The sequence below is a fragment of the Homo sapiens genome, chromosome 19 (genome assembly GCF_000001405.40).
Source record: "Homo sapiens chromosome 19, GRCh38.p14 Primary Assembly".
NCBI lineage: Eukaryota > Metazoa > Chordata > Mammalia > Primates > Hominidae > Homo > Homo sapiens.
Genome location: NC_000019.10, coordinates 56,314,620 through 56,341,791, shown reverse-complemented (window position 1 = coordinate 56,341,791; position 27,172 = coordinate 56,314,620). Strand labels below are relative to the sequence as shown.

At 42.1% G+C, this 27,172-nt stretch overlaps 1 protein-coding gene, 2 long non-coding RNA genes and 3 pseudogenes across 15 annotated transcripts in view; 4 read left to right on the top strand and 2 right to left on the bottom strand.

Moving 5' to 3' along the window:
• Positions 1-27,172, top strand: part of ZSCAN5A (zinc finger and SCAN domain containing 5A) — a 146,976-nt gene that overhangs the window by 26,487 nt on the left and 93,317 nt on the right. For 8 of the 13 annotated variants that reach the window (NM_001322078.3, NM_001322077.3, NM_001322073.2 and 5 more), the window contains exon 1: positions 26,953-27,111. The gene's annotated coding sequence lies outside the window, so the exon portion shown is untranslated. Of the gene's footprint in view, positions 1-25,523; positions 25,879-26,952 lie in introns of those variants that run through there. The other 5 variants (NM_001387854.1, NM_001387857.1, NM_001387856.1 and 2 more) reach the window with 2 other exon arrangements.
• ZSCAN5A-AS1 (ZSCAN5A antisense RNA 1) lies at positions 590-27,089 on the bottom strand. Its single transcript, NR_186830.1, has 3 exons — positions 26,806-27,089; positions 3,287-3,487; positions 590-1,006 (listed from the first exon to the last, which is right to left on the bottom strand). It is a non-coding gene; the product is annotated as a ZSCAN5A antisense RNA 1 (long non-coding RNA).
• On the top strand, positions 2,887-3,574 carry VN2R18P (vomeronasal 2 receptor 18 pseudogene; annotated as a pseudogene).
• On the top strand, positions 19,327-23,232 carry LOC729999 (glycerol-3-phosphate dehydrogenase 2 (mitochondrial) pseudogene; annotated as a pseudogene).
• Positions 23,754-26,786, bottom strand: LOC105372468 (uncharacterized). Its single transcript, XR_936088.3, has 2 exons — positions 26,287-26,786; positions 23,754-25,971 (listed from the first exon to the last, which is right to left on the bottom strand). It is a non-coding gene; the product is annotated as an uncharacterized LOC105372468 (long non-coding RNA).
• VN2R17P (vomeronasal 2 receptor 17, pseudogene) lies at positions 23,907-24,509 on the top strand (annotated as a pseudogene).

Genomic DNA, 27,172 nt, shown 5'->3' with positions numbered 1-27,172 from the left:
GTTTTCTCAAAGGTCTAAAGGAAATGTTTCCTTTGAACATAATATTCTGTGCACTGCAGAAGGGTTTTTTTTTTTTTTTTTTTTTTTTTGCCTTTTGGTAACCTGCCTAGAAGATTTTATGTTTTATTGCTTAGAAAAAACTGAGGTTAAAAAAATTTTTAATGAAGGTTATTACATTTGTTATCTTCCTGTATGTGCTTTTAAAGTCCTTGTGACATTGAGTTACAGGGCCTTGACTCCTGGGTCTAAAAATGACACCAAGCCCTACTAAATTTTAAATACTGAGAGCTTATATTGAATATATTGTATATATTTCAACCTTGGAGAATCTGACAATTATTTGTCTTGGGGTTGCTCTTCTCGAGGAGTATCTTAGTGGTGTTCTCTGTATTACCTGAATTTGAATGTTGGCCTGTCTTGCTAGGTTGGGGAAGTTCTCCTGGATAATATCCTGAAATGTGTTTTCCAACTTGGTTCCATTCTCCCTGTCACTTTCAGGTACACCAATCAACTGTAGTTCGGTCTTTTCACATAGTCTCATATTTCTTGGAGGCTTTGTTAGTTCCTTTTCATTCTTTTTTCTCTAATCTTTTCTTCATGCCTTATTTTAGTAAGTTGATCTTCAATCTCTGATATCGTTTCTTTTGCGTGATCAATTTGGCTATTGATACTTGTGTATGACAAATGATGGCAACTCCTCTCCAGCAAGGGCACAAAACTGGACGGAGAATGAGATTGATGAATTGACAGAAGTAGGCAGATTTGCCCTGAGGGGTTCCCAGCTTGAAGGGATCCAAGATATTTCCCTTTCACAAGACAATCCCATTCTGTCAATGAATTAATCTGTTGGAGTTTGCTGGAGGTCCACACCAGACCCTGTTCACAAGAAGATCTTTTCACTTCCCTCTTCTCCTGCAAGGGAAGACTTTAAGAGACCTGAATTGACATGGCAAGGTGGTCTCATTTTCAACTCTCAAGCACAAAGTCTTTCTTCTCTTTGGTTTGCCTGCCAAAATGAAAATTCGAGGTTACCAAAAGCTTCAGTTCCAGTATATCTCCTTCTTATTCCACAGAAATTGTAGTTCATGGATATGAAGGCTCTAACAGCTAAGTATAATTTTGCCATCATGAAAAAGCCAATGAGAAGCCAATAAAAACAGGATTTCAGAAACACATAAGTACCTCCATTTCCAACTATGTGTCAAAAGCTTTCCTGATTAAGCTTGTTTGTTTGAGATTTCTCTAGCTGTAGCCAAAAATATCCTAAATTATTATCATTAGTATTCCTTTCATGACATTGATGTGACCTGCTACCCTGACTCATACTAAGAGAAGAATCAAGAGAATTGTGAAAAGGAAAAGTGGTTTTGAACTTCGTTCTCCTGGAGATCCGACAATCTAACCTTAGAACTCTGCTTCCTCCAGTTTTCTCATTCCGTCTGCAGTGAGAGCTGCCCTGCTGGCTCCACTGCTACTTTGAATGCAGGCACTGCCTTGAGAGACATTTTGCTGACAGAAAGATGATAGGGGGGCTTTCAAATGATTCCTTCTGAAAGTTGACATTCAACTCATGTTTACTCTTTGGGTAACTTTATCCTGCAAATTCTGAGAGAACACCATCCTTCTAGGTCCAGTTGGCCACAGAACAGGTTGCATGAGTCTCCATAGCAAAATGGAAATCCAAATGGAATCCAATTTCCATTTGGATTTCCATTTTGCACAAAGTGAGTTTTCTCTGTCCATTTTGGGTTTGGATGGAGGAGGGGAAAAATGCTCAGACTTTCCCCAAGACAGTAGTATCAGACAATCCCCAGGAACAGATTGGAAGGGTCAGTGTGGGCAGGTGTTGAGTTCTCTAAGTCATCTAGAGCAAGGGCAGGCAAATCTTGGCCCACAGGCTAAATATGGCTGCAATTCCTCCTTTACATATTGCTAAATACGGCTACAACCGCTCCTTCACATATTGCTAAATGCGGCTACAACCGCTCCTTCACATATTGCTAAATGCGGCTACAACCGCTCCTTCACATATTGCTAAATGCGGCTACAGCCGCTCCTTCACATATTGCTAAATGCGGCTACAGCCGCTCCTTCACATATTGCTAAATGCGGCTACAGCCGCTCCTTCACATATTGCTAAATGCGGCTACAGCCGCTCCTTCACATATTGCTAAATGCGGCTACAGCCGCTCCTTCACATATTGCTAAATGCGGCTACAGCCGCTCCTTCACATATTGCTAAATGCGGCTACAGCCGCTCCTTCACATATTGCTAAATGCGGCTACAGCCGCTCCTTCACATATTGCTAAATGCGGCTACAGCCGCTCCTTCACATATTGCTAAATGCGGCTACAGCCGCTCCTTCACATATTGCTAAATGCGGCTACAGCCGCTCCTTCACATATTGCTAAATGCGGCTACAGCCGCTCCTTCACATATTGCTAAATGCGGCTACAGCCGCTCCTTCACATATTGCTAAATGCGGCTACAGCCGCTCCTTCGCATATTGCTAAATATGGCTACAGCTGCTCCTTTGCATATTGCTAAATACGGCTACAACTGCTCCTTTGCATATTGCTTACAGTGGCTTTCAATCTGCAAGAGAAGACTTGAATAGTTGCCACAGACACCTTCTGGTTTGCAAACTGTAAATATTTATTACCCTTTACAGAAAAGGTTTGCTGTCATATGTCTCACAAATCCAGTGCAGTCTGTAATTAGTTACAATGAAAAGATGACAATGCCCAGGTCACATTGTTCCTAAGGCCTGTTCTGTATTTCTCCCCATTTAGAATGAATTCCCTGCAGGCATTTTTGCACTCCAAATACATTACGTCACTGTCAAGCTTTCTCCTTCCATATATGCTTTGAACCCTGGGAACAGGCCACCTTTTCAGTTCAGTTCACAGTGGCTGTGTCTTCTGCTTCAGCCAAAACTTTCACTGTGGTCATGGCCTTCCAAGCTACAAGGCCAGCTAGCAGGATGGGAAAGCTACAAGGCCAGCCAGGACCCAAGGTCCTGTTGGGTACCCTAAAATCTCATTCTGTTGTCACCTTTGCCCCCTCATCCAAGTGACCATCTCTGGAATCTAGTTGGAAACATCTCCTTCCTCCCTAGACAAAGACCCATAGTCCTGGTATAATCATCATCCAGTGTAATGGGGGCTCTATCACTGTTTTCTACTGTGTCTTGAGCTATTTGGGCTTCTTGGTTCTGGGGACCTTTGCTGTAGTCTTCCTGGAAAGTAACCCGCCTGACATCTTCAATGAAACCAAATGTCTCACCTTCAGCATGTTGGTGTTCTGCAGTATCTGGGTGGCTTTCCTCCTGAGTTATAGTAGCACTCAGGGAAAGGCCATGGTGGCTGTGGAGATTGTCTCCATCTTGACCTCCAGTACTGGGTTACATGGATGCATCTTGCTCCCAATTGCTACGTGATTCTCCTTCACCCAGAAAGGAACAGTCTTCAATGCCTAAAGAAGAAGCTGAGAAACCATAAACAGAAGGACTATACTATATTTAGATTAAGAGGAGGGACTATAATGCTTATTAGTGGTAGAGAATTTGTAAGCTAATTGTGTAAAGTGCTCCTGAAAAATCAATAAATATTAAACAACTTGTTTCAAAAAAAAAATGAGATATTGGCAAGTTACTTACAGAAGCAAACCTGAATATCCAGTGAATAAGAAGATTCTGGGCTCATTGGAAGGTATTGAGTTGTCACAATTAATTTTTCACAGTAACAGATTTATCTTGTTATACTCTCCCCTCTTCCAGGATTCAACTTTCACTAGTCTTCAGTTTTAAAAAAGAAGATGCTAAGCCTAACTAGTAATCAAAAATGCAAATTAAAAAGCCACGAAATAGCATATTACTTTGCAGAATAAAAGAAAAACTTACAAATCTGTAATCACTAAATATTGACCAGGATGTAAAGCAACATGTACCTGCACACGCACACACACAGAACTAGATAAACTTCACACCTGTTAAGGAATAATTTCCAGGAGGCATTGTTAAGTAAAACAAGCAAGTTATAAATGAAAGTACAGGGCGGGTGGAGCCAAGATGGCTGAATAGGAACAGCTCCAGTCTACAGCTCCCAGCATGAGTGACGCAGAAGACAGGTGACTTCTGCATTTCCAACTGAGGTACTGGGTTCATCTCACTGGGGAGTGCCGGACAGTGGGTGCAGGACAGTGGGTGCGGTGCAGTGCACTGTGCATGAGCTGAAGCAGGGCGAGGCATCGCCTCACCTGGGAAGCACAAGGGGTCAGGGAATTCCCTTTCCTAGTCAAAGAAAGGGGTAACAGATGGCATCTGGAAAATCGGGTCACTCCCACCCTAATACTGCACTTTTCCAATGGGCTTAACAAACGGCACACCAGGAGATTATATCCCACACATGGCTTGGAGGGTCCTACACCCACAGAGCCTCGCTCATTGCTAGCACAGCAGTCTGAGATCAAACTGCAAGGCAGCAGTGAGGCTGGGGGAGGGGCGCCTGCCATTGCCGGGGCTTGAGTAGGTAAATAAAGTGGCCGGGAAGCTCGAACTGGGTGGAGCCCACCACAGCTCGAGGAGGCCTGCCTGCCTCTGTAGGCTCCACCTGTGGGGGCAGGGCACAGACAAACAAAAGGCAGCAGTAACATCTGCAGACTTAAATGTCCCTGTCTGACAGCTTTGAAGAGAGTAGTGGTTCTCCCAGCATGCAGCTTGAGATCTGAGAACAGGCAGACTGCCTCCTCAAGTGGGTCCCTGACCCCCGAGTAGCCTAACTGGGAGGCACCCCCCAGTAGGGGCAGACTGACACCTCACACGGCTGGGTACTCCTCTGAGACAAAACTTCCAGAGGAATGATCAGGCAGCAGCATTTGCGGTTCACCAATATCCGCTGTTCTGCAGCCACTGCTGCTGATACCCAGGCAAACAGGGTCTGGAGTGGACCACCAGCAAACTCCACAGACCTGCAGCTGAGGGTCCTGACTGTTAGAAGGAAAACTAACAAACAGAAAGGACATCCACACCAAAAACCCATCTGTACGTCACCATCATCAAAGACCAAAGGTAGATAAAACCACAAAGATGGGGAAAAAACAGAGCAGAAAAACTAGAAACTCTAAAAATCAGAGCACCTCTCCTCCTCCAAAGGAATGCAGCTCCTCACCAGCAACGGAACAAAGCTGGATGGAGAATGACTTTGACGAGTTGAGAGAAGAAGGCTTCAGAAGATCAAACTACTCCAAGCTAAAGGAGGAAGTTCGAACCAATGGCAAAGAAGTTAAAAGCTTTGAAAAAAAATTAGACGAATGGCTATCTAGAATAACCAATGCAGAGAAGTCCTTAAAGGACCTGATGGAGCTGAAAACCACGGCATGAGAACTACGTGACGAATGCACAAGCCTCAGTAGCTGATGCGATCAACTGGAAGAAAGAGTATCAGCAATGGAAGATGAAATTAATGAAATGAAGCGAGAAGAGAAGTTCAGAGAAAAAAGAGTAAAAAGAAATGAACAAAGCCTCCAAGAAATATGGGACTATCTGAAAAGACCAAATCTACGTCTGATTGGTGTACCTGAAAGTGACGGGGAGAATGGAACCAAGTTGGAAAACACTCTGCAGGATATTATCCAGGAGAACTTCCCCAATCTAGCAAGGCAGGCCAACATTCAAATTCAGGAAATACAGAGAATGCCACAAAGATACTCCTTGAGAAGAGCAACTCCAAGACACATAATTGTCAGATTCACCAAAGTTGAAATGAAGGAAAAAATGTTAAGGGCAGCCAGAGAGAAAGGTCGGGTTACCCACAAAGGGAAGCCCATCAGACTAACAGCGATCTCTCGGCAGAAACTCTACAAGCCAGAAGAGAGTGGGGGCCAATATTCAACATTCTTAAAGAAAAGAATTTTCAACCCAGAATTTCATATCCAGCCAAACTAAGCTTCATAAGTGAAAGAGAAATAAAATACTTTACAGACAAGCAAATGCTGAGAGATTTTGTCACCACCAGGCCTGCCCTAAAAGAGCTCCTGAAGGAAGCACTAAACATGGAAAGGAACAACTGGTAGCAGCCACTGCAAAAACAAGCCAAATTGTAAAGACCATCAAGGCTAGGAAGAAACTGCATCAACTAATGAGCAAAATAACCAGCTAACATCATAATGACAGGATCAAATTCACACATAACAATATTAATCTTAAATGTAAATGGGCTAAATGCTCCAATTAAAAGACACAGACTGGCAAATTGGATAAAGAGTCAAGACCCATTAGTGTGCTGTATTCAGGAAACTCATCTCACATGCAGAGACACACATAGGCTCAAAATAAAGGGATGGAGGAAGATCTACCAAGCAAATGGAAATGTTGGCCTGGCTAGCTAGGTTGGGGGAGTTATCATGGATGATATCCTAAAATATGTTTTCCAAATTGGTTCCATTATCCCCATCTCTTTTGGGTACACCAGACATAGATTTGTTCTCTTTACACAATCCCATATTTCTTGGAGGTTTGGTTATTCCTTTTCATTCTTTTTTTTTTTTCTATCCTTGTCTACCTATCTTATTTCAGAAAGGCAGTCTTCAAGCTCTGAGATTCTTTCCTCTGCTTGGTCTATTCTGCTATTAATACTTGTGATTGCATTTTAACATTCTTTTATTGTGTTTTTCAGTTCTGTCAGGCTGGTTACATTCTTCTCTACACTGGCTATTTTGTCTGTCAGCTCATGCAATGCTTTATCATGACTTTTTAGCTTCCTTGCATTGGGTTAAAACATGATACTTTAGCTCAGTGAAGTTTGTTTTTATCCGTATTCTGAAGTCTACTTCTGTCATTTCAGCCATCTCAGCCCAGTTTCAAACCCTTGCTGGAGAGGTGATGTGGTCATTTGGAGAAAAGAGGGCACTCTGACTTTTTGTGTTTTCACCATTCTTGTGCTGATTTTTTTCTCATCTTTGTGGGCTTACCTACCTTTAATATTTGAAGTTGCTGACCTTTGGATGAGTATTTTTTTCTTTTAATAATTTGGCCACTTTTCTATAGGGCTGCTGTGGTTTGCTAGGAGTCCTCTCCAGTCCCTAGTCATCTCAGATTTTCCAGTACCTGGAGGTATCACCAGTGAAGGCTGAGAAATAGCAAAGATGGAATTCTGCCCATTCCTCTGGGAGCTCTATATTTGTGTTTGTAACACAAAAAATAAATTCTTGGGGTGATGGATACCCCATTTATCCTGATGTGATTATTATGCATTGCATGCTTATATCAAAATATTTCATGTAACCCATAAACATATACACCTACTATGTACCCACAGAAATAAAAAATAAAAATAAATGGTTATGTCAATGTAACTGATACATCATGTTGGAAAAGTGAACAAAATAAAAAATTTAAAAATAATAATAAAATAATTTGTGCAAGATCAGATCATCACCAAATGGTAGAGATGTGATAAAATAGGCAGTCTGTGAGCCACCCCACCCTTTCTTTGCAGAGATTGTGGTGCAGTGGGGTGGTCTATAGTCCAAGCCCAGGCAGACCTCCAGGCATCTAGAACACCCCACTCTATGCAGAGAACTTGGAGCCAAGGAGGTTTCCTATCTGATCTCCATGGCTAGTCACACCTCTGGGTACATGGTTGACACTGGTGCTTGTGTCTGCTATCAGGAAGCCTGTACATGGGCCTGCCCATTCCAGACTTGTCCATCTTGGAATGCATGCTTTGAATTTTTAAATCTGTAATCTCTTATTTTCCATTTTGGTTAGGGATCATTGCTGAAGAGCTAGTGTAATCTTTCAGTGGTGTCACAACATTCAGATTTTTCATGATGCCAGAATTCTTACAATGGCTTCTTCTCATCTGGAGATGTTGGCATTCCTAATTTTTGTAATTATTTTCATGCAGACAAGATTCTTATATATATATATATATTTTTCTTTTTCCTTTCCCCTGTCTCCCTAGAAGGTGTGAGCATACAGTATGTTTGCTACCATCTTTTGGCTTTGCTTTTATAGCCCTATGGACTCTTCTCATGTCTGGCTTTATATTGAGCTATTGTGCAGTTTGGCATACTACCAGCAGATGGCATGCATGAATAAGAGATGGCTGTGGCCAATGTCACTAGGTATATACTTTATTATTGTTTACTAAGAGAAGCTCTCAAAAAATTCAAAGCATGCATTGCAAGGAAGCTCAGCAACACCCAAGGCAAGGTTCAAAATCAACACAAATATTTCTACAGCAATCTAGTAAATGAAGGAAGAGATAAACATGTCAAAAAGAAATCAGTCAGAGCTTCTGGTATTGAAAAGCTCAATTAAGGAATTTCAAAATACAATTAAAAGCTTTATCAATAGACTGGAGCAAGCAGAAGAACGAATTTCGGAATTGAAGTCTGGTCTTTTGAAGAAACTCAAACAAAAAAAAGAATTAAAAAAAAAATAAAGTCTTTGAGAAAGATGGGATTATATAAAGTGACCAAACTTATGAATTAATGACATTTCTGAGAGAAGGAGAAAAGGTAAATGACCTGGAAAACATATTTGAGAGAATAATTTAAGAAAATCTCCCTAATCTTGCTGGAGAGGTAGACATCCAGATAGAAGAAATCCAGAGAACACCTGGGAGATACTATACGAAACAGACATCACCAAGACATAGTCACCACACTGTCTACCATCAATACTAAAAAAAAAAAATCTTAAAGACAGCTACAGAAAAATGTTAGATTATGCACAAAGGGAACTCCATCAGACCAACAGCAGACTTCTCAGCAGAAACCTTGCAAGCTGGAAGGGATTGAAGGCCTATTTTCAGCATTCTGAAAGAAAAGAAATTCCAACAAAGAATTTTATGTCACACCAAACTAGGCTTCAAAAGCAAAGAAGAAATAAAATATTTTACAGACAAGCAAGCAATAAGGGTATTTGTTACCACTAGACCAGCCTTACAAGAAATCCTTAAGGGAATTCTAGACATGGAAACAAAGGAACAATACCTGCTACCATAAAAATACACTTAAGTATATGGTCCTCAGATCCTATAAAGCAACCACCCAATAAAAACCTACAAAGCAACTAGGCAACAACTTCATGAAAGGATGAAAACCTCACATATCACTATTAACCTAGAATATAAATGGCCTAAATGCCTTACTCAAAAGGCGTAGAGTGGCAAGTTTGATTTTAAAAAGAAAGACTCATTTGTCTGCTGTTATCAAGAGATCCATCTCACATGTGACAACACCCATACGGCTCAAAGTAAAAGGTTGGAAGAAAATCATACAAATGGAAAACAAAAAAGAGCAGGGGTAGATATTCTTAGATCAGACAAAACAGACTTTAAAACAACAAAAATAAAAAAGTATGAAGAAAAACATTTCATAATGATAAAGACCTCAATTTAATAAGAAGACTTAACTATCTAAATACATACGTACCCCACATTAGAGTACCCAGCTTCATAAAGCCGTAGTTCTAGATCTATGAAAAGACTCATCCACACAATAATAGTAGGGGACTTCAACACCCCACTGACAGCATTAGACGGATCATCAGAGCAGAAAACTAACAAAGAAACCTGGACTTAAATCTGACACTTGACCAATTGGCCCTAATAGACATTTACAGAACACTGAAGCCACAACTACAGAGTGCACATTCTTCTCATCTGCACATGGAACACATGGACAACAAGCTCAGCCTAAAGCAAGTTTCAATCAATTAAAAAAAATAAAAATCATGGCAGCCATACCCTTGGACCACAGTGCAATAAAAATAGAAATCAATACCAAGATCTCTCAAAACCACACAATAACATGGAAATTAAATAACTTGCTCCTGAATGACTTTTAGGTAAACAATGAAATTAAGGGAGAAATAAAAAAAATTCTTTGAAATACTAGGCTGGGCGCAGTGGCTCACACCTGTAATCCCAGCACTTTGGGAGGCCGAGGCGGGTGGACCACCTGAGGTCAGGAGTTCAAGACCAGCCTGGCCAACTGACGAAACCCCATCTCTACCAAAATACAAAAATTAGCCGGGCATGATGGCGGGTGCCTGTAATGTCAGCTACTCAGGAAGCTGAAGCGGGAGAATTGCTTGAACCCAGGAGGCAGAGGTTGCAGTGAGCCGAGATCACACCATTACACTCCAGCCTGGGTGACAGAGCGAGACTCCGTCTCAAAAAAAAAAAAAAAAAAAAAAAAAAAGAATGCAATTCCATTTACAATAGCTGAAAGAAAAAAAAAAAGCCTAGACTATATATAACCAAGAAGGTGAAACATCTCTACCAGGGGAACTACAGAACACTGCTGAAAAAAATAATAGATGACAAAAATTAATGGAAAAGCATTCCATGTTCATTAATTGTAAGAATCAATATTGTTAAAATGGCCATACTGCTCAAAGCAATTACATATTCAACGCCAATCCTATCAAGCTACTAACATCTTTTTTCACAGAACTAGAAAAAAACTACTCTAAAGTTCATCTAAAACCAAAGAATAGCCTGAATTGTCAAAGCAATTCTAAACAACAACAAAAACAAAGCTGGAAGCATCACATTACTTGACTTCAAACTGTACCACAAGACTACGATAAGCAAAACAGCATGCAAAAACAGACATAGATCAATGGAACAAAAAACAGAACCCAGAATTAAGCCACACACCTACAGCCATCTGACCTTAGACAATGGCAACAACAGAAAAACAATGGTGAAGAACTACCTATTTAATAAATGGTGCTGAGATTGCTGGCTAGGCATATGCAGAAGAATGCAACTGGACCCCTACATTTCACCATATACAAAAATTAACTCAAGAAGAATTAAAGATTTAAATGTAAGACCTCAATCTAAGAGATGTCTAGAAGAAAACCTAGGAAACACCATTCTGAAGATTGGCTTTGGAAAAAAATTTATTACTAAGTTCTCAAAAGCTATTGCAACAAAAAAATGACAAATTGGATCTAATTACACAGCAAACGAAACTAATAACAGAGTAACAGACCACCTATAGAATGGGAGAAAATATTCAAAAACTGCATCAAAAAAGGTCTAATATTCAGAATCAACATAAAAAGTAAACAACTAAACAAGCAAAAATAAAGTAACCCCCTTAAAAGTAGGCAAAAGATGTAAACAGACACTTGTCAAAAGAAAACAAGCAGCCAACAAACATGAATAAATGCTTAACTTTACTAGTCGTCAGAGAAATGAAAGTCAAAACCACAATAATGAGATGCCATCTTACACCAGTCAAAATGACTATTATTAAAAAGTAAAAAAAACAAGAGATGCTGGCAAGGCTACTGAGAAAAGGGAATGCTTATACACTGTGGTGGGAATGTAAATTAGTTCAGCCACTATGAAAAGCAGTTTGGAGATTTTTCAAAGAACTTAAAACAGAACTATCCTTTGACCCAGCAATTCATTACTGGTTTTATATCCAAAAGAAAATAAATTTTTGTACCAAAAAGACACATGCACCCATATGTTCATTGCAGCGCTATTCACAAAAGCAAAGATGTGAAATCAACATAGCTGCCCATTATTAGTGGATTGGATAAAGAAAATGTGGTACATATACACCATGGAATACTATGCAGTCATAAAACGGAACAAAATCTTGTGCTTTGCAGTGACATCGATGCAGGTAGAAACCATTATCCTAAGTGAATTAACACAGGAACAGAAAACCAAACACTGCATGTTCTCACTTATAAGTGGAAGTTAAACACTGAGCACACATGGACATAAAGATGGGAACAGTAGACACTGGGGAGTACCAGAGGGGAGAAGCAAGACAAGAGGCAAGGGCTGAAAAACTATTGGGTACTGTGCTTTCTATCTGAGTGACAGGATCAATCATCAAACCTCAGCATCATGCAACATACCTAAGTAACACACCTACTCATGTATTCCATGAACCTAAAGTGGAAATTAGTTTTGAAATAAAAATTTTTTAAAAATAAAAACATTCATTGTTGGGATAAATAAACTACCCAGATTACAATGGTGATACACAAAGAACAAAATAAGATATTTGACCTACCAAGATGTGAGAAAGTAAATTATCATGAAAAACTTTTTTTTTATGTTTTTTAAATTGTATTGACTATTTCAAGGAATATTTAGATGTTGACTTTCTCTATTTTTCTATTTTCAATTTCAATAATTTCTACTCCAATTATTATTATTATTTCTTCTGCTTGCTTTGGGATTAGAGTACAGAATACAGTACTTTTTCTAGTTTCCTAAGGTATAAACATAGACTATTGAATATAGAATTATCTTCTTTACTGATATACTTAATACTATAACTCTCCTATTTCCCTCTTAGCATTTCTTTTGCTTCATCCTACAAATCTGGTAAGTTGTAACTTCATTTTTATTTAGTTCAACTTTTGTTTGTTTGTTTGTTTTTGTTTTTGTTTTCTGAGACAGAGCCTGGCTCTGTCACCCAGGCTGGAGTACAGTGACACGATCTCGGCTCACTGCAACTTCTGCCTCCCAGATTCAACTGATTCTCGTGCCTCAGCCTCTTAAGTAGCTGTGTTTACAGGCATATGGCACCACGCCCAGCTAATTTTTGTATTTTTAGTAGAGGCGGGGTTTCGCCATGTTAGCCAGGTTGGTCTCATACTTCTGGCCTCAACTGATCCATCCACCTTGGCCTCCCTAAATGCTGGGATTACAGGTATGAGCCACCATGCCCAGCCAAGGTCAAATTATTTTTAAAATTTCTGTTACATTTCTTTTATTTATTTATTTATTTATTTTTTTTTTTTTTTGAGACGGAGTCTCGCTCTGTCGCCCAGGCTGGAGTGCAGTGGCGCCATCTCGGCTCACTGCAAGCTCCGCCTCCTGGGTTCACGCCATTCTCCTGCCTCAGCCTCCCCAGCAGCTGGGACTACAGATGCCCGCCACCATGCCCAGCTAATTTTTTTTTTTTGTATTTTTAGTAGAGATGGGGTTTCACCGTGGTCTCGATCTCCTGACCTCATGATCCACCTGCCTCGGCCTCCCAAAGTGCTGGGATTACAGGCATGAGCCACCGCGCCTGGCCATATTTCTTCTTTGACCCACATTTGGTTTATGTGATTATCTTCTTTACCATATTTTACCCATTTTTTGGAACAATTTTTTTTTTTTGAGTCAGAGTCATGCTCTGTAGCCCAGGCTGGAGTGCAATGGTGTGATTTCAGCTCACTGCAATCCTCGGTTCAAGTGATTCTCCTGCCTAAGCCTCCTAAGTAGCTGGGATTACAGGTGCGCACCACCATGCCCAGCTAATTTTTGTATTTAGTAGAGATGGGGTTTCACCATGTTGGTCAGGCTGGTCTCAAACTCCTGACTTCGTGATCCACCTGCCTAGGCCTCCCAAAGTGCTGGGATCACAGGCATGAGCCACTGCGCCTGGCCACAAATATGTTTTTTTAATGTCATAAAACTAAAATTATTTTATAATAAAATAGTAAAATTTTTAAAACAGGAAGTTTGCATTCTGTGACAGCATTTTTCTTTATAATTGTATCTTTGGAAGTATTCAATATGTTGAAAAAACAACTTGCAACATACATGTCAGTTATAAAACATAGTAAAATGATGAACTACCAAAAACATCCCCATCCACCTAAGGAGTAAACACTGATCACTTCTCCTGTCCATCCATGCTTCTCTCTTTCTCCCTTCACTGTGCTACTCCCATACATGACCACTACCATAAATGTTGAGTTTATTATTAAGCTACTTCTAACTATGTGGATATACTTCATAATATAAATGTATGTAAGGTTTATAATGTATATGTATCAAAATATGTACTAATGTGAATATATCATGTATACTATCATATTTTGATATATATGAATTATCTATACTACACATATTCATTTACATGGGAAATATATACACGTATGGATACTTATGTAATACTACATATAACACACAACTATGCATATGTAATACATGAACTACAGTGCATATGTATCGCATGTGTATGTAAATACACATGTAAAAACAAAATAGATTACATATATTAGTAGATGTGTAAAATTGAATATATACATAAATTTATGTATTGTATAGTATTTGTATAGAATACATAAAATACATTTATACCTAGATAGTATAAGATATGCATGCACTTATATTGTAAAATATGCATTTTGGGATGTAAAATTATATATCATACATATAAGATATTTGTATATATTTAATGTCATTTAATATAATGTGCATATTTATATTCAATATGTGTATGACTTATATGGTATACATATTTAACATGTACATTATAAAACATAATATATAAACATAGTAAATGTATTATTAATAAATATATATATTTATAATTAAAATCATTGCAGTTGGCCAGGTGCTATGGCTCACACTTGTAATCCCCCACTTTGGGAGGTGAGATGGGAGAATTGCTTGAGGCCAGGAGTTCGAGACCAGCCTGAGAAATATAGCAAGACCCCATTTCTATAAAGAATAAAAAACATAGCCAGGTGCGGTGGGATGCACCTTTAGTCCTAGCTACTTGGGAGGCTGAGGCAGGAGTATTGCTTGAGCCCAGGAGTTTGAGGCTGGAGTGAGCCATGATCGTGTCACTACACTCCAGCCTGGGTGACATTAGAGACCTAATGTATATATAGCATGACGAATGTAGTAAATCCTAATGGACACCTGAAATTAGACTCTATCTCTAACAAAAAAAAAAAATCACTGTAGCTTTTCTATATTCATGTAAGTGTCACATGACTATTTTGAGGTTAAGCACAACCTCAACTCGTGAAGGGCATTGTAGGTGGGTCAGCATATAGCACTGAGTGAATGTTTGCTGGATGAGTGAATGATGGGTACAGAGCAAAGTGTAAGGAGTGTCTTTCAGCTGCTATGTTCTGCTCAAGGCTGGTTTCTTTATGTGTTGAAGAGGAAGCCACAGGCATGAAGAAGACTTGGCATGATTGATTATGAGCAGCGCATCAATATGTTGCATATTAGGGCCCATGATGGAAATCAAAGCAGAGGAGACTCGAGATCTAGTGGGATTTGTACCATTAGTGAAGTGGAGGGAGAGATGCCGCACATTTACGTGAGAGCATGTGTGGGTGGGGGTGTCATTTGCAGTTAATCGCCCAGTACTGAAAGGCACCCAGCGGTACACTATGGGAAGTGAAATAAGCCACGCACAGAGAGCCACATACTGCGTGATTCCCATTTATATGTGGAATATTAAAAAGTCAAACTCAGAGAGTAGTAACAGAGAGTAGAATGGCAGTTACCAGGGGTGGAGGGTTGGGGGATTGGGGAGATGCTTGTCTAAGGGCAGAAACTTTCAGCTATAAGATGAAATACTGTTAGAGACCTAATGTATAGCATGGTGAACATAGAGAATCCTAATGTGTACTTGAAATTTTTCAAGAGTTATCTCAAATGTTCTCACCACACACACACACACACACACACACACACACAATGGTAACTGTGAGATGTGGATATATTTATTAGCTTGTTTTAGACATTTTACAATATATACGTATATCAGGCCAGGCGTGGTGGCTCACGCCTGTAATCCCAGCATTTTGGGAGGCCGAGGCGGGCCGATCACGAGGTCAGGAGATCGAGACCATCCTGGCTAACACGGTGAAACCCCGTCTCTACTAAAAATACAAAAAAAAAAATTAGCTGGGCGTGGTGGCGGGGGCCTGTAGTCCCAGCTACTCAGGAGGCTGAGGCAGGAGAATGGCGTGAACCCGGGAGGTGGAGCTTGCAGTGAGCGGAGATCACACCACTGCACTCCAGCCTGGGCAACAGAGCAAGACTCCATCTCAAAAAAAAAAACCACAATATATACATACATCAAGACATCCCATTGTACACTCTAAATATATGTAATTTTTTGTTAATCAAAACTCAAAGCTGGCAAAAGGCACTCAATATATATTGTCTTCTTAATTCTTTAACACCACACTCTAATCCTCTTGAAATATTTCTTGTCATAAAATCTAGGCCCTGAAATCCTGAAAACAGCAACAACAACAACAACAACAGATAACCAGTATATCTGCCTCACTAATCTAATGAATTCTCCCTCCTTAACCCCTTCAAACGCTATTTTTTTTTTTAAGTGTCTACTTCTGGTGATGACAGAGTGACTGGTGCTAGACTGGACTTCCTGATACAGAAAACAACAAACCTGGATGCATTCTATCTGGCAACAGTTTTCAGGCAGGGATAAAAGGTCATGCAAGAGTGAAATTCACACAAGAAGGGAACCTAGCAAGCTAAGCCCCATGACCTCCCTGTTCTCTTTCAGGGGATAATTCCTCTCCCAGTAGATACAACTGGAATCTGGGCCAAACAAAGCAGTCATTGATATGGTTTGGCTGTGTCCCCACCCAAATCTCATCTTGAACTGAGCTCCCATAAAGCGGGACATTAGGAAGGAAGACAGTTTCTGGGGAGGGGCCCCATTCTGTGTGGGAAACGTGTGAGGGGAGAAGAAAAGACACACACACAATACCTTTAAGGGTAAACAACCTTTATCCCACGTAAATGGCAATGTAGATAGAATAAGCAAATTATATAATAAGCAAATGGATATAATAAGCAAATTGCAATGGGGAGGGAAGAAGGGAAAAGATATACATCTATTTACACTCACCAGACTATGGAGGATTCACCACCAGGCTGGGAAGCAACAGCCTAGGCTCCAGAGTCAGACACTCGTCCATGCACAGAAAATGAGAGGTCTCATGAAGCTTCAACGCAGTCTGGGACCCTAGTTCTTTTTGTAAGGAGTTGTTTGACATGAGGCCCAGTCACAAGGGCCCTTCACGACTGGGCTCAAGGAACACAAAAAGGTCAACTTTTTTTTGTGGTTGTCTATTGTTTTTCAATAACTAATGTATAGGAATAGATTGAAATAGACAGTTCTCCAAAACAGTGCTGGGTGAATGCCTCAAGGGGCTCACACAACCTGTTCCAGGACTTGGTGACCATTGTTTGTGGCCATGTTCAATTGAATTCAAACTTAATATTTAACTTTTCCTCCACAGGCCCTCAGAAATTTGTGTCAGTAAATGTGGGAGGGCAGATATCTTTTTGACCTACTAACTTCCTTTTTTTTTTTTTTTTTTGAACATGTACACAGCAGTGGGAATGCCAGTCACATGGGGATTCTATTTTTAGTTGTTTGATGAACCACCACAGTTTTCCATAGTGGCTGTACTAATTTACTTTCCCACCAACATTGTACGAGGGTTCCCCTTACTCTGCATCCTCACCAGCATCCATTATTTTTTGGCTTTCTGATAAAAGCCATTTTAACTGGAGTGAGATAATTTCTCATTGTGGTTTTGATTTGCATTTCCCTGATGTGCTGATGTTGAACAGAGTTTCATATACCTCTTGACCAACTGAAGAACAAAATATGATACATATACACAATGGAATATTATTCAGCCATAAAAAAGAATAAAATGTTATTTGCTGCAACATGGATAGAATTGGAGGACATTATGTTAAGTGAAATAAGCCAGGAATAGATGGACAAATATTCCATCTTCTCACTCATATGTGGGAGCTAAAAACATGGATCTCATGGAATTAGAGAGTTGATTGGTGGTTACCGGAGGCTATGAATAGAGGGGGAAAGGAGAGAGGTTGTTTTGTGGGCACAAAAATACAGTTGGATAGAATGAATAAGATCTACTGTTCAGTAGTACAGCAGGGCAACTATAGTTAACAATAATTTGTTGTATGATTTAAAGTTGCTGGAGGGGAGGAATTGAAATGTTTCCAACATAAAGAAAGGGTGCAGGTTTGGGGTGATGGAGTCCCAATTGTCCTGGTTTATCATTAGACATTGTATGCATGCATCAAAATACCACTGATCCCACAATATATATAACTATTATGTATCTATAAAAAAAAAAGTTCTGCCGGCCAGGCATGGTGGCTCATGACTGTAATCCCAGCACTTTGGGAGGCTGAGGCGGGTGGATCACCTGAGGTCAGGAGTTTGAGACCAGCCTGACCAACATGGAGAAACCCCATCTCTACTAAAAATACAAAATTAGCAGGCTGTGGTGGCGCATGCCTGTACTCCCAGCTACTTGGGAGGCTGAGGCAGGAGAATCGCTTGAACCCGGGAGGCGGAGGTTGCAGTGAGCCGAGATCATACCATTGTACTCCAGCCTGGGCAATAAGAGTGAAACGCTGTCTCAAAAAAAAAAAAAAAAAAAAGTTCTGCCTCAGGGTTCTGCATCCATAAATTCAACAAACCTGGGATCAAACATATTTTTTTGCCAGGCACAGTAGCTCACACCTGTAATCCCAGCACTTTGGCAGGCCAAGGCAGAAGGATCACTTGAGTCCAGGAGTTTGAGATCAGCCTGGGCAACATGGTGAGACCTTGTCTCTACAAAAAATAAACTATGCACCTAGTCCCAGCTACTCAGGAGGCTGAGGTGGGAGGATCACTTGAGCCTGGGAGGTTGAGGCTGCAGTGAGCTGTGATTGTGCCAGCGCACTCTGAGTGACAGAGCAAGAAGCCGGTCTCCAAAAAATATTTTTAAGAAACCAAGGCCGGGCGCGGTGGCTCACGCCTGTAATCCCAGCACTTTGGGAGGCCGAGGCAGGTGGATCATGAGATCAGGAGATCGAGACCATCCTGGCTAACAAGGTGAAACCCCGTCTCTACTGAAAATATAAAAAATTAGCCGGGCGTGGTGGCGGGCACCTGTAATCCCAGCTACTTGGGAGGCTGAGGCAGGAGAATGGCGTGAACCCGGGAGGCGAAGCTTGCAGTGAGCAGAGATCGCGCCACTGCACTCCAGCCTGGGCGACAGAGCGAGACTCTGTCTCAAAAAAAAAAAAAAAAAAAAGAAACCAATAAAAATAATACTAATTTAAAAACCAAGAGAGTCTAACAACTATTTACATAGCATTTACATTGTATTAGGTATTATATGTAATCTAGAGATGATTTAAAGTATACAGGAGTAAGTGCTAGGTTATATGCAAATAGTACTTCATTTTATGCAGTGGACTTGAGCAGCCTGAGATTTTGGTGCCTGAGATGATCCTAGAACTAATCCCCTACAGACATACTGAGAGGCGACTACATGTCTGTATCTATAGATAGATATCAAGATGGCGAGAGATAGATTGGGCAGGGAGGGAACGCGTTTACATGAGATAGAGACAGAGATGAACAGAGAGGTAAGATCCACAATTATTAAAGACACTGTAGTGGAAGTTTTTCCAGGATATTTTGCCCCCAGTATTACTGGAAAAGCTGGTGAAGTGTAAAGCCAGGCGAGGGCTCTGAGCTCTGATGGTGGGGTTGCGGGGTCGCCCGCCTCCTGGACAAATTTGTAGGCCTAGGGAAGCCTGCCGGCTGAGAGGTGTGGAATAGGGGAAGCCAGATCTGGCGGCAGACAATGAGAAGTCCTCAGGCTAAGAAATGGCCTTTCAAAAGGCAGTGAAAGGGACAATTCTTGTTGAAGGAGGTGCTCTTGCAACTGTTTTAGGACTTTCTCAGTTTGCTTATTACAGAAGGAAACAAATGAGCCTGGTCTATGTTGAAGCAGCAGACTGCATTTCAGAACCTGTTAACAGGGAGCCTCCTTCCAGAGACGCTCAGCTACTGACTTTGCAAAAATATATCTGAATTTGATATCCTTGTTATGGGAGGAGAAGAAAGAGGAAGTGGCTGTGCACTAGATGCCGTCACCAGAGGACTAAAAACAGCCTTGTAGAAAGAGATGATTACTTACCAGGGACCAGCAGCAGAAGCACTAATTTGATCCATGGTGGTGTGAGATATCTTCAGAAGGCCATGATGAAGTTGGATATTGAGCAGTACCGGATGGTAACAGAAGCCCTTGATGAGCGTGCCAACCTGCCAGAAATTTCTCCCCATTTATCAGCTCCATTGCCTATCATGCTTCCAGTTTACAAGTGGTGGCAGTTACCTTACTACTGGGTAGGAATCAAGCTGTATGATTTGGTTGCAGGAAGTAATTGCCTGAAAAGCAGTTATGTCCTCAGCAAATCAAGAGCCCTTGAACATTTCCCAATGCTCCAGAAGGACAAACTGGTAGGAGGAATTGTCTACTATGATGGACGACATAACGATGCATGGATGAACCTTGCCATTGTGCTGACTGCTGCCAGATATGGGGATGCCACAGTCAATGACAGGGAGGTAGTGAGCTTGCTTAAGAAGACAGACACCCAGACAGACAGCGAAAGTGCGTGTGAGTGGTGCATGGTGCAAGGATGTCCTCACAGGGCAGGAATTTGACATGAAAGCCAAGTGTGTTATCAATGCCGTTGGACATTTCACAGACTCTGTGTGCAAAATAGATGATAAGGATGCTGCAGCTATCTGCCAGCCAACTGCTGGTGTCCACATTGTGATGCCTGGTTATTACAGCCCAGAGGGCATGGGACTTCTTGACCAGTGATGGGCGAGTTATTTTCTTCTTACCCTGGCAAAAGATGATGATTGCTGGCACTACTGATACCCCAACTGATATTACACACCATCCAAGTCCTTCAGAAGAAGATATTAACTTCATTTTGAATGAAGCACGTAATTACCTGAGCTGTGATGTTGAGGTGAGAAGAGGGGCGACATCCTAGCAGCGTGGAGCAGTATCCGTCCCCTTGTTACAGATCCCAAATCTGCAGATACTCAGTCTATCTCCTGAAATCATGTTGTCCATGTCAGTGAGAGAAGTCTTATTACTACAGCAGGTGGAAAGTGGACAACTTACCGGTCTGTGGCGAAGATACCCTAAATGCTGCTATCAAAACCCACAATTTGAAAGCAGGACCAAGTAGAACAGCTGGGCTTTTCCTTCAAGGGGGTAAAGATTGGAACCCCACACTCTACATGAAGCTTGTCCAGGATTATGGACTTGAAAGCGAGGGGGCACAGCATCTTGCTGCCACCTATGGTGATAAGGCTTTTGAGGTGGCCACAATGGCAAGTGTGACTAGCAAAAGGTGGCCTATTGTTGGAGTACGTCTTGTGTCAGAATTTCCATATATTGAAGCAGAGGTGAACTATGGGATTAAGGAGTATTCCTGCACCACCGTGGATATGATTTCACGTTGTACTCGCCTGGCTTATTATTATTATTATTATTATTTTTGAGACAGAATTTCGCTCTTGTCACCCAGGCTGGAGTGCAATGGTATGATCTCGGCTCACTGCAATCACCGCCTCCTGGGTTCAAGCGATTCTCCTGCCTCATCCTCCCGAGTACCTGGAGTTACAGGCTAATTTTGTATTTTTAGTAGAGATTGGGTCTCCACCCTGGCTAATTTTGTATTTTTAGTAGAGATTAGGTTTCTCCATGTTGGTCAGGACATCACCACGCCTGGCTAATTTTGTATTTTTAGTAGAGATTGGGTTTCTCCATGTTGGTCAGGCTGGTCTCAAACTCCTGACCTCAGGTGATCTGCCTGCCTCAGCCTCGCCTGGCCTTTCTAAATGTCCGGGCAGCAGAGCAAGCCCTACTCAGGATTGTTGAACTAATGGGCAGAGAACAGAATTGAGATGATTATAAGAAACAGGAACAACTTGAAACAACCAGGAAGTTTCTATATTATGAAACAGACTAAACTTTGATCAGAACAGTTAACAGATGGCTCTGAAATTAGCCTACTGCCTTCAGACAGTGACAGGTATAAGAAGAGATTTTGTAAGTCTGATGCAGACCAGAAAGGCTTTATTACCATTGTTGATGTTCCATGTGTATTAGAGAGTATCAATGTCCAAATGGATGAAAATACACTCCATGAAATTCTAAATGAAGTCGATTTGAATAAAAATGGACAGGTTGAACTCAATGAATTTTTGCAGCTGATGAGTGCTATTCAAAAAGGAAGGGTGTCTGGAAGCCGGCTCTTTATACTAATGAAAACTGCAGAAGAGAACCTCGACAGAAGAGTCCCAATTCCAGTGGACCATAGTTACAGGAGGGACCGGGCTTAGGATGCGACTGGCCCGAGCAGATCTGTGTTTGTTAAACAGGTCTTGTTTGTGCATATTTTGCTATGAATGAAGTTCCTTTAAGGACAAAGAAAAGCACACTTTTCTTCTTTTGAGCATATCTGCTTTTACTTAAAATCTGCTAAATGCTAAAACACACGGTCCTTCACCAATCCCAGAGACTCGTTTGGAAATGAACTGATTTCAAGCCATTACTGTGAATAAAGCACCCCAGCATTTTGTGTAAATTCTTTTTTTTTTTTTTTTTTTTTCCCGAGATGGAGCCTTGGTCTGTCGCCCAGGCTGGAGTGCGGTGGTGCAATCTCGGCTCACTGCAACCTCTGCCTCCCAGGTTCAAGCAATTCTTTTGCTTCAGCCCCCCGGGTAGTGAGGATTACAGGCACCCGCCACCACATCTGGCTAATTTTTGTATTTTTAGTAGAGATGGGGTTTCACCATGTTGGTCAGGCTGGTCTCAAACTCCTGACCTCGTGATCCACCCACCTCAGCCTCCCAAAGTGCTGGGATTACAGTCGTGAGCCACTGCACCCAGCCATAAGTTCTGAATTAAGCCTGTACAGCTTCCTTACCTGATTTAAGAAAGGGAGACAAGAAATAGGGGGGAATGAGCTTCTTTGAAATTCGTTCCAAGAACAAAAGAAAAAATTTTCCATTTGCATATAAACTTGACATTAGTTGATTCTGTTGGGGTTGGGGTGGGTATGCAGGGATTGCCTTTTATTATCAAGTGATTTATTTCAAGAGCCTTTAAGGGGAGTCAGGTGAAGGAACCCCCATCTGTGCTAGAGAGTTGGATACTCCTTTAAATAGCCCCACCACAGTCATAACAATAATGATAATGCTGGATTATTTGTTTAGCCACGGTGGTCTGCCTCATATCCATCATGCTGTTTGCAATATTCCTGCTTTCAATCAATTTATACTGAGTGTATTAGGATTTCTGCTATTAAATGCGTGATCCCTCTTCTGCTTCAGTTTCTGGCTTGGCTTTGTCTGTTTCAAAATATGTAGCTTCCTCTTTGGCACAACAAAAAACTCATTTTCACTTTTATTAAATATACGGTGTTATCATTGATTTTATTTTCTCTTATGTATCTGTAAAGATTTTTGGCACATAAATGTAATATTAAAGTCAGTGATGCTATAACTTGCAATGTTTGCATCATGTCCACCTTTTTTAAGGAGTGAAAAAGCCCTAGTATGTTTTTAAAGAATAGCCAGTGCAAGCTCAGTACTAGAGTGACTACACACACTGCATGTTTTCATATGTGGCACTTTGATGTACCGTGTTGGGTTATTGTTCTAGATTGGACTGTTAAATACTATGTTCAAGGCTGGGTTGTCATTTTTATAAAGGTCTTGGTGTTTTATGGCCATTATTTATTACTTTTGATATAGAGAATGAGCTACGTGCATTTATAAAGCAATAAGAGGATGTATTTAATGTGCCTTGTTTTGAACTGAATAAGAACCGGAAGCATGAATCAATAAAACTGATTAAAATGGTCAAAAAAAAAAGCTGGTGAAGTATTTATGTTTTCCTTTAAAACACATGCAGAACACATATACGCATGCTTGCGTGCACGCACACACACAACTCACACACACAACTCTCACACACACACACACACCAGCCAAACAGTCCACCTAAATGGCGCTGTGGTGGTGAGAGCTCTGGGCAATGGAATCTTACCAAACGTGCAGTGCTCTGTTTTGGAGACAGTGACACCCTTTTTGTTTATTTCAGATATAAAACAATGCAGGCTTTGTCCTGAATATCATTATCCAAACAAGAAAAGGGAACATACCTTCTCAAATAGGAGACCTTCCTGGCCTATGATGAAACTTTGGGCCTGACTCTGGCATGCACAGCCTTGTTCTACTCTGTCCTCTCTGTTCTGATCCTTGTGGAGTTTGTGTGGCACCAAAACACTCCCATAGTCAAGGCCAGCAACCAGACTCTGAGCTACACCCTCCTTGTCTCCCTCACACTCTGCTTTCTCTCTTCCTCGCTCTTCATCGGCCGCCCCAGCCCTGCCACCTGCCTCCTCTCACAGACCACCTTTGCAGCTGTGTTCACAGTGGCTGTGTTTTCTGCAGGGCCTTCCAGGCTATAAGGCCAGAAAGCAGGATCCGAAAGTGGATGGGTCCCCAAAAAACAAATTCTGTTGTCTTCCTTTGCTCCTTTACCCAAGTGACCCTCTGTGGAATCTGGCTGGGGACAGAGCCTCCCTTCGTAAACAAGGACCCTCAGTTCATGCCTGGCTACATCATTATCCAGTGTAATGAGGGCTCCGTCACTGCCTTCTACTCTGTCTTGGGCTACTTGGGCTTCTTGGTTTTAGGGTCCCTTGCTGTAGCCTTTCTGGCAAGGAACCTGCCTGATGCTTTCAACGAAGCCAAGTTCCTGACCTTCAGCATGCTGGTGTCCTGCAGTGTCTGGGTGGCCTTCCTCCCGAGTTACTAAAGCACCCAGGGCAAGGCCAGAGTGGCCGTGAGATCTTCTCCATCGTGGGCTCCAGCACTGGGTTACTTGGCTGCATCTTTGCTCCCAAGTGCTATGTGATCCTCCTTCATCTAGAAAGGAACACTATTCAATGTTTAAAGAAGCCTAGTCCAGGCATGGTGGCTCACACCTGTAATCCCAGCACTCTGGAGGCCAAGGCGGCTGGATCGCTTGAGCCCAGGAGTTCGAGACCAGCCTGGGCAATGTGGCAAAACCCCATCTCTACAAAATATACAGAAATTAGCTGCAGGTGGTGGCATGCGCCTGTAGTCCCAGCTACTCAGGTGGCGGAGGTGGGAGGATTGCTTAAGCCCAGGAGGTCAAGGCTACAGTGAGCCAAGATCACACCACTGCACTCTAGCCTGGAAAACAGAGCATGACTCTGTCTAAATAAATAAATAAGAAGCCTGAGAAACCATAAACAGACCAAACAATAAACAGGCTGAGAAGAGGAATTGTAATGATCATTAGTGGCAGAGAATTTGTAACCTGATTGTGGAAAGCACATCTGAAAACAAAGATTGAATGAACTATTTGAAAAAAATGGCAATGAAAGAAAATTTACAGAGGCAAAACCTGAATATCCAGTGAATAATAAAAAGATTCTGGCTGGCTCAAAGGTAGTGAGTTCTACCAATGTATTGTCCACAGTCAGTTACAGACCAAATTCCTTGGTCTACTCTTTCCCCCCTCCTCACTAATGCACTTGACTAGTCTTTAACGAAGAAAAAAAAAATATGCTAATCCTGATAGTCAAAAATTCAAATTTAAAAAACCATAAAATAGTTAATTACTTCTCACTACAATGGCAAAAATTACAAATCTGGAATCAGTAAGTGTTGATTGGGATGTGGAGCACAATAAGGGCATTGGGTAGGGTGAGGTCTGTGAAGATGACGGAACTACTGACCGGGATTTTAGCACCGAAATTAACCTCAAAGCTCAATTGCGCACCCCTTGGTTATGTTGTTACAGATGGTGCAATGCTGGGCCACAGAGCTTGCCCCAGGTCCCCAAGCAAAGTCAGTGGCACTGCCTGGACTGGAAGTTCATCCCCATCCATTTTCACGTGCGGAGTCTCAGGGCTCAGTAAAGAACCATGATTGACGGAGGTCACACAGCAACTGGTATGACAGGGACAGGTTTCCGGAATTCCAGTGTCTTAACACCAAAGCCTGTAGTATTTCTCAGAGAGAACAACACCACTGCTCGTGTGTGCTCAGAAGAAAGTTTAGTGGTCGTAACATCCAATACATCCAACCTGCAGATCAATACACAAAGACCCTGGAGGAAGGTGGGGCGGTAACTTGTCCAAATCTCCAAAGAAAAGGTAAGAATGGTGATCATCAAAGCCGCTGACATTTGAAGGGTCATTGTGTGCTGGCCATTGCTCTGAGGTTCCCTTAATTCTCACAACCACCACCTAAATTTTAACATCAAATTCTAACATCATCCTCACTTTACCTATGCGGAAACTGAGACACAGAGTGTGTCTCTTGCCCGGGGCCCTGAAATAGTAAGGGAGCACAGCAGGGGTACCAGACATTATTTCACAAAAAGGGAAACTGAGGCCCAGAGAGGGTGAAAGGTCACCGGCTCACCCTTTCCGGGACGAGTGGTATAGGGTAGGTGGCCTCAAAGACAGAGCTTGGCTGAGAACCCACAGCCCCTTCACATCAGCTTTCTCCCCTCCCGTGGGCAGCTATGAAGTCACAGGGGAACTGGGAGGGGCCGTTACCATGGAGACTCGAAGCCCATTCAGAGAATAGGGTGGAATCTGCGAGTCGCCCTCATCTCCCAGGGCACCACTTTGGAGCCAGCATTTTCGGCCTCGGAAATGAGACCCAGAGCGCCTCGCGCGAGCAGCCCCAACCTCCCCGCAGACGACATGCGACACCGCCCGGGTGACCCAGGCTCGGGAATCTCTAGGCTTCACGGACGCAGAACCAGGGAAGACACGCCTCAATGCGCGTGTGCAACTCTATCCCGTCCTTTAAAGAAGGCCATGTGGCCTCTTCACCAATCGGAATCCTGCTTTTTCCCTGGTCCCGCCTTATTCCCAGACTTCCGGCGTCTCGCTGGCCGCAAAACAACCCTAAACTACAGGGCTCGGCGACTCCCAGAGACTTCTGGGTATTGTAGTCCTAAAGGTTCAGAGCGACAAGAGCACGTTTTAGTAAAAAGCAGCTTAGAATAAAATGCCTGCACTAGTAATGATTCGGCGAGTTGGAAACGCTTGTTAGATGCTTTCACTCACTGTTATTTGTGGGGGAAGCAGGAGTGAAGGAGCAGGAAGGCGGCCGCAGAGGCTTCTGGGAATTCTAGTTCAGCCCTCTGAGCAAGGGCTGGGAGTTGCGACCCCCGCCCCGGATCCGGAAGTGGTCGCCGAGGCCTCCTAGCAGCCAATGTGAATGCGACAAGTTCCCGATCCAGGCGTCCCGCTCTCCCCGGCCCCACTCGCCAGGTCCTACCACGATGCCTGACTCGTTTGCGGCTTTGGGACCGGTTGTAGGTGGCTTGACCGTCACTAGTAGACGTTTCTGAGTGTGTCGCGGTCACCATGGTAACGACTTTAGCTTCCCTTCCGCCCTTGCGGTGACGTCACTGGCGGAGGCCGGACTGGG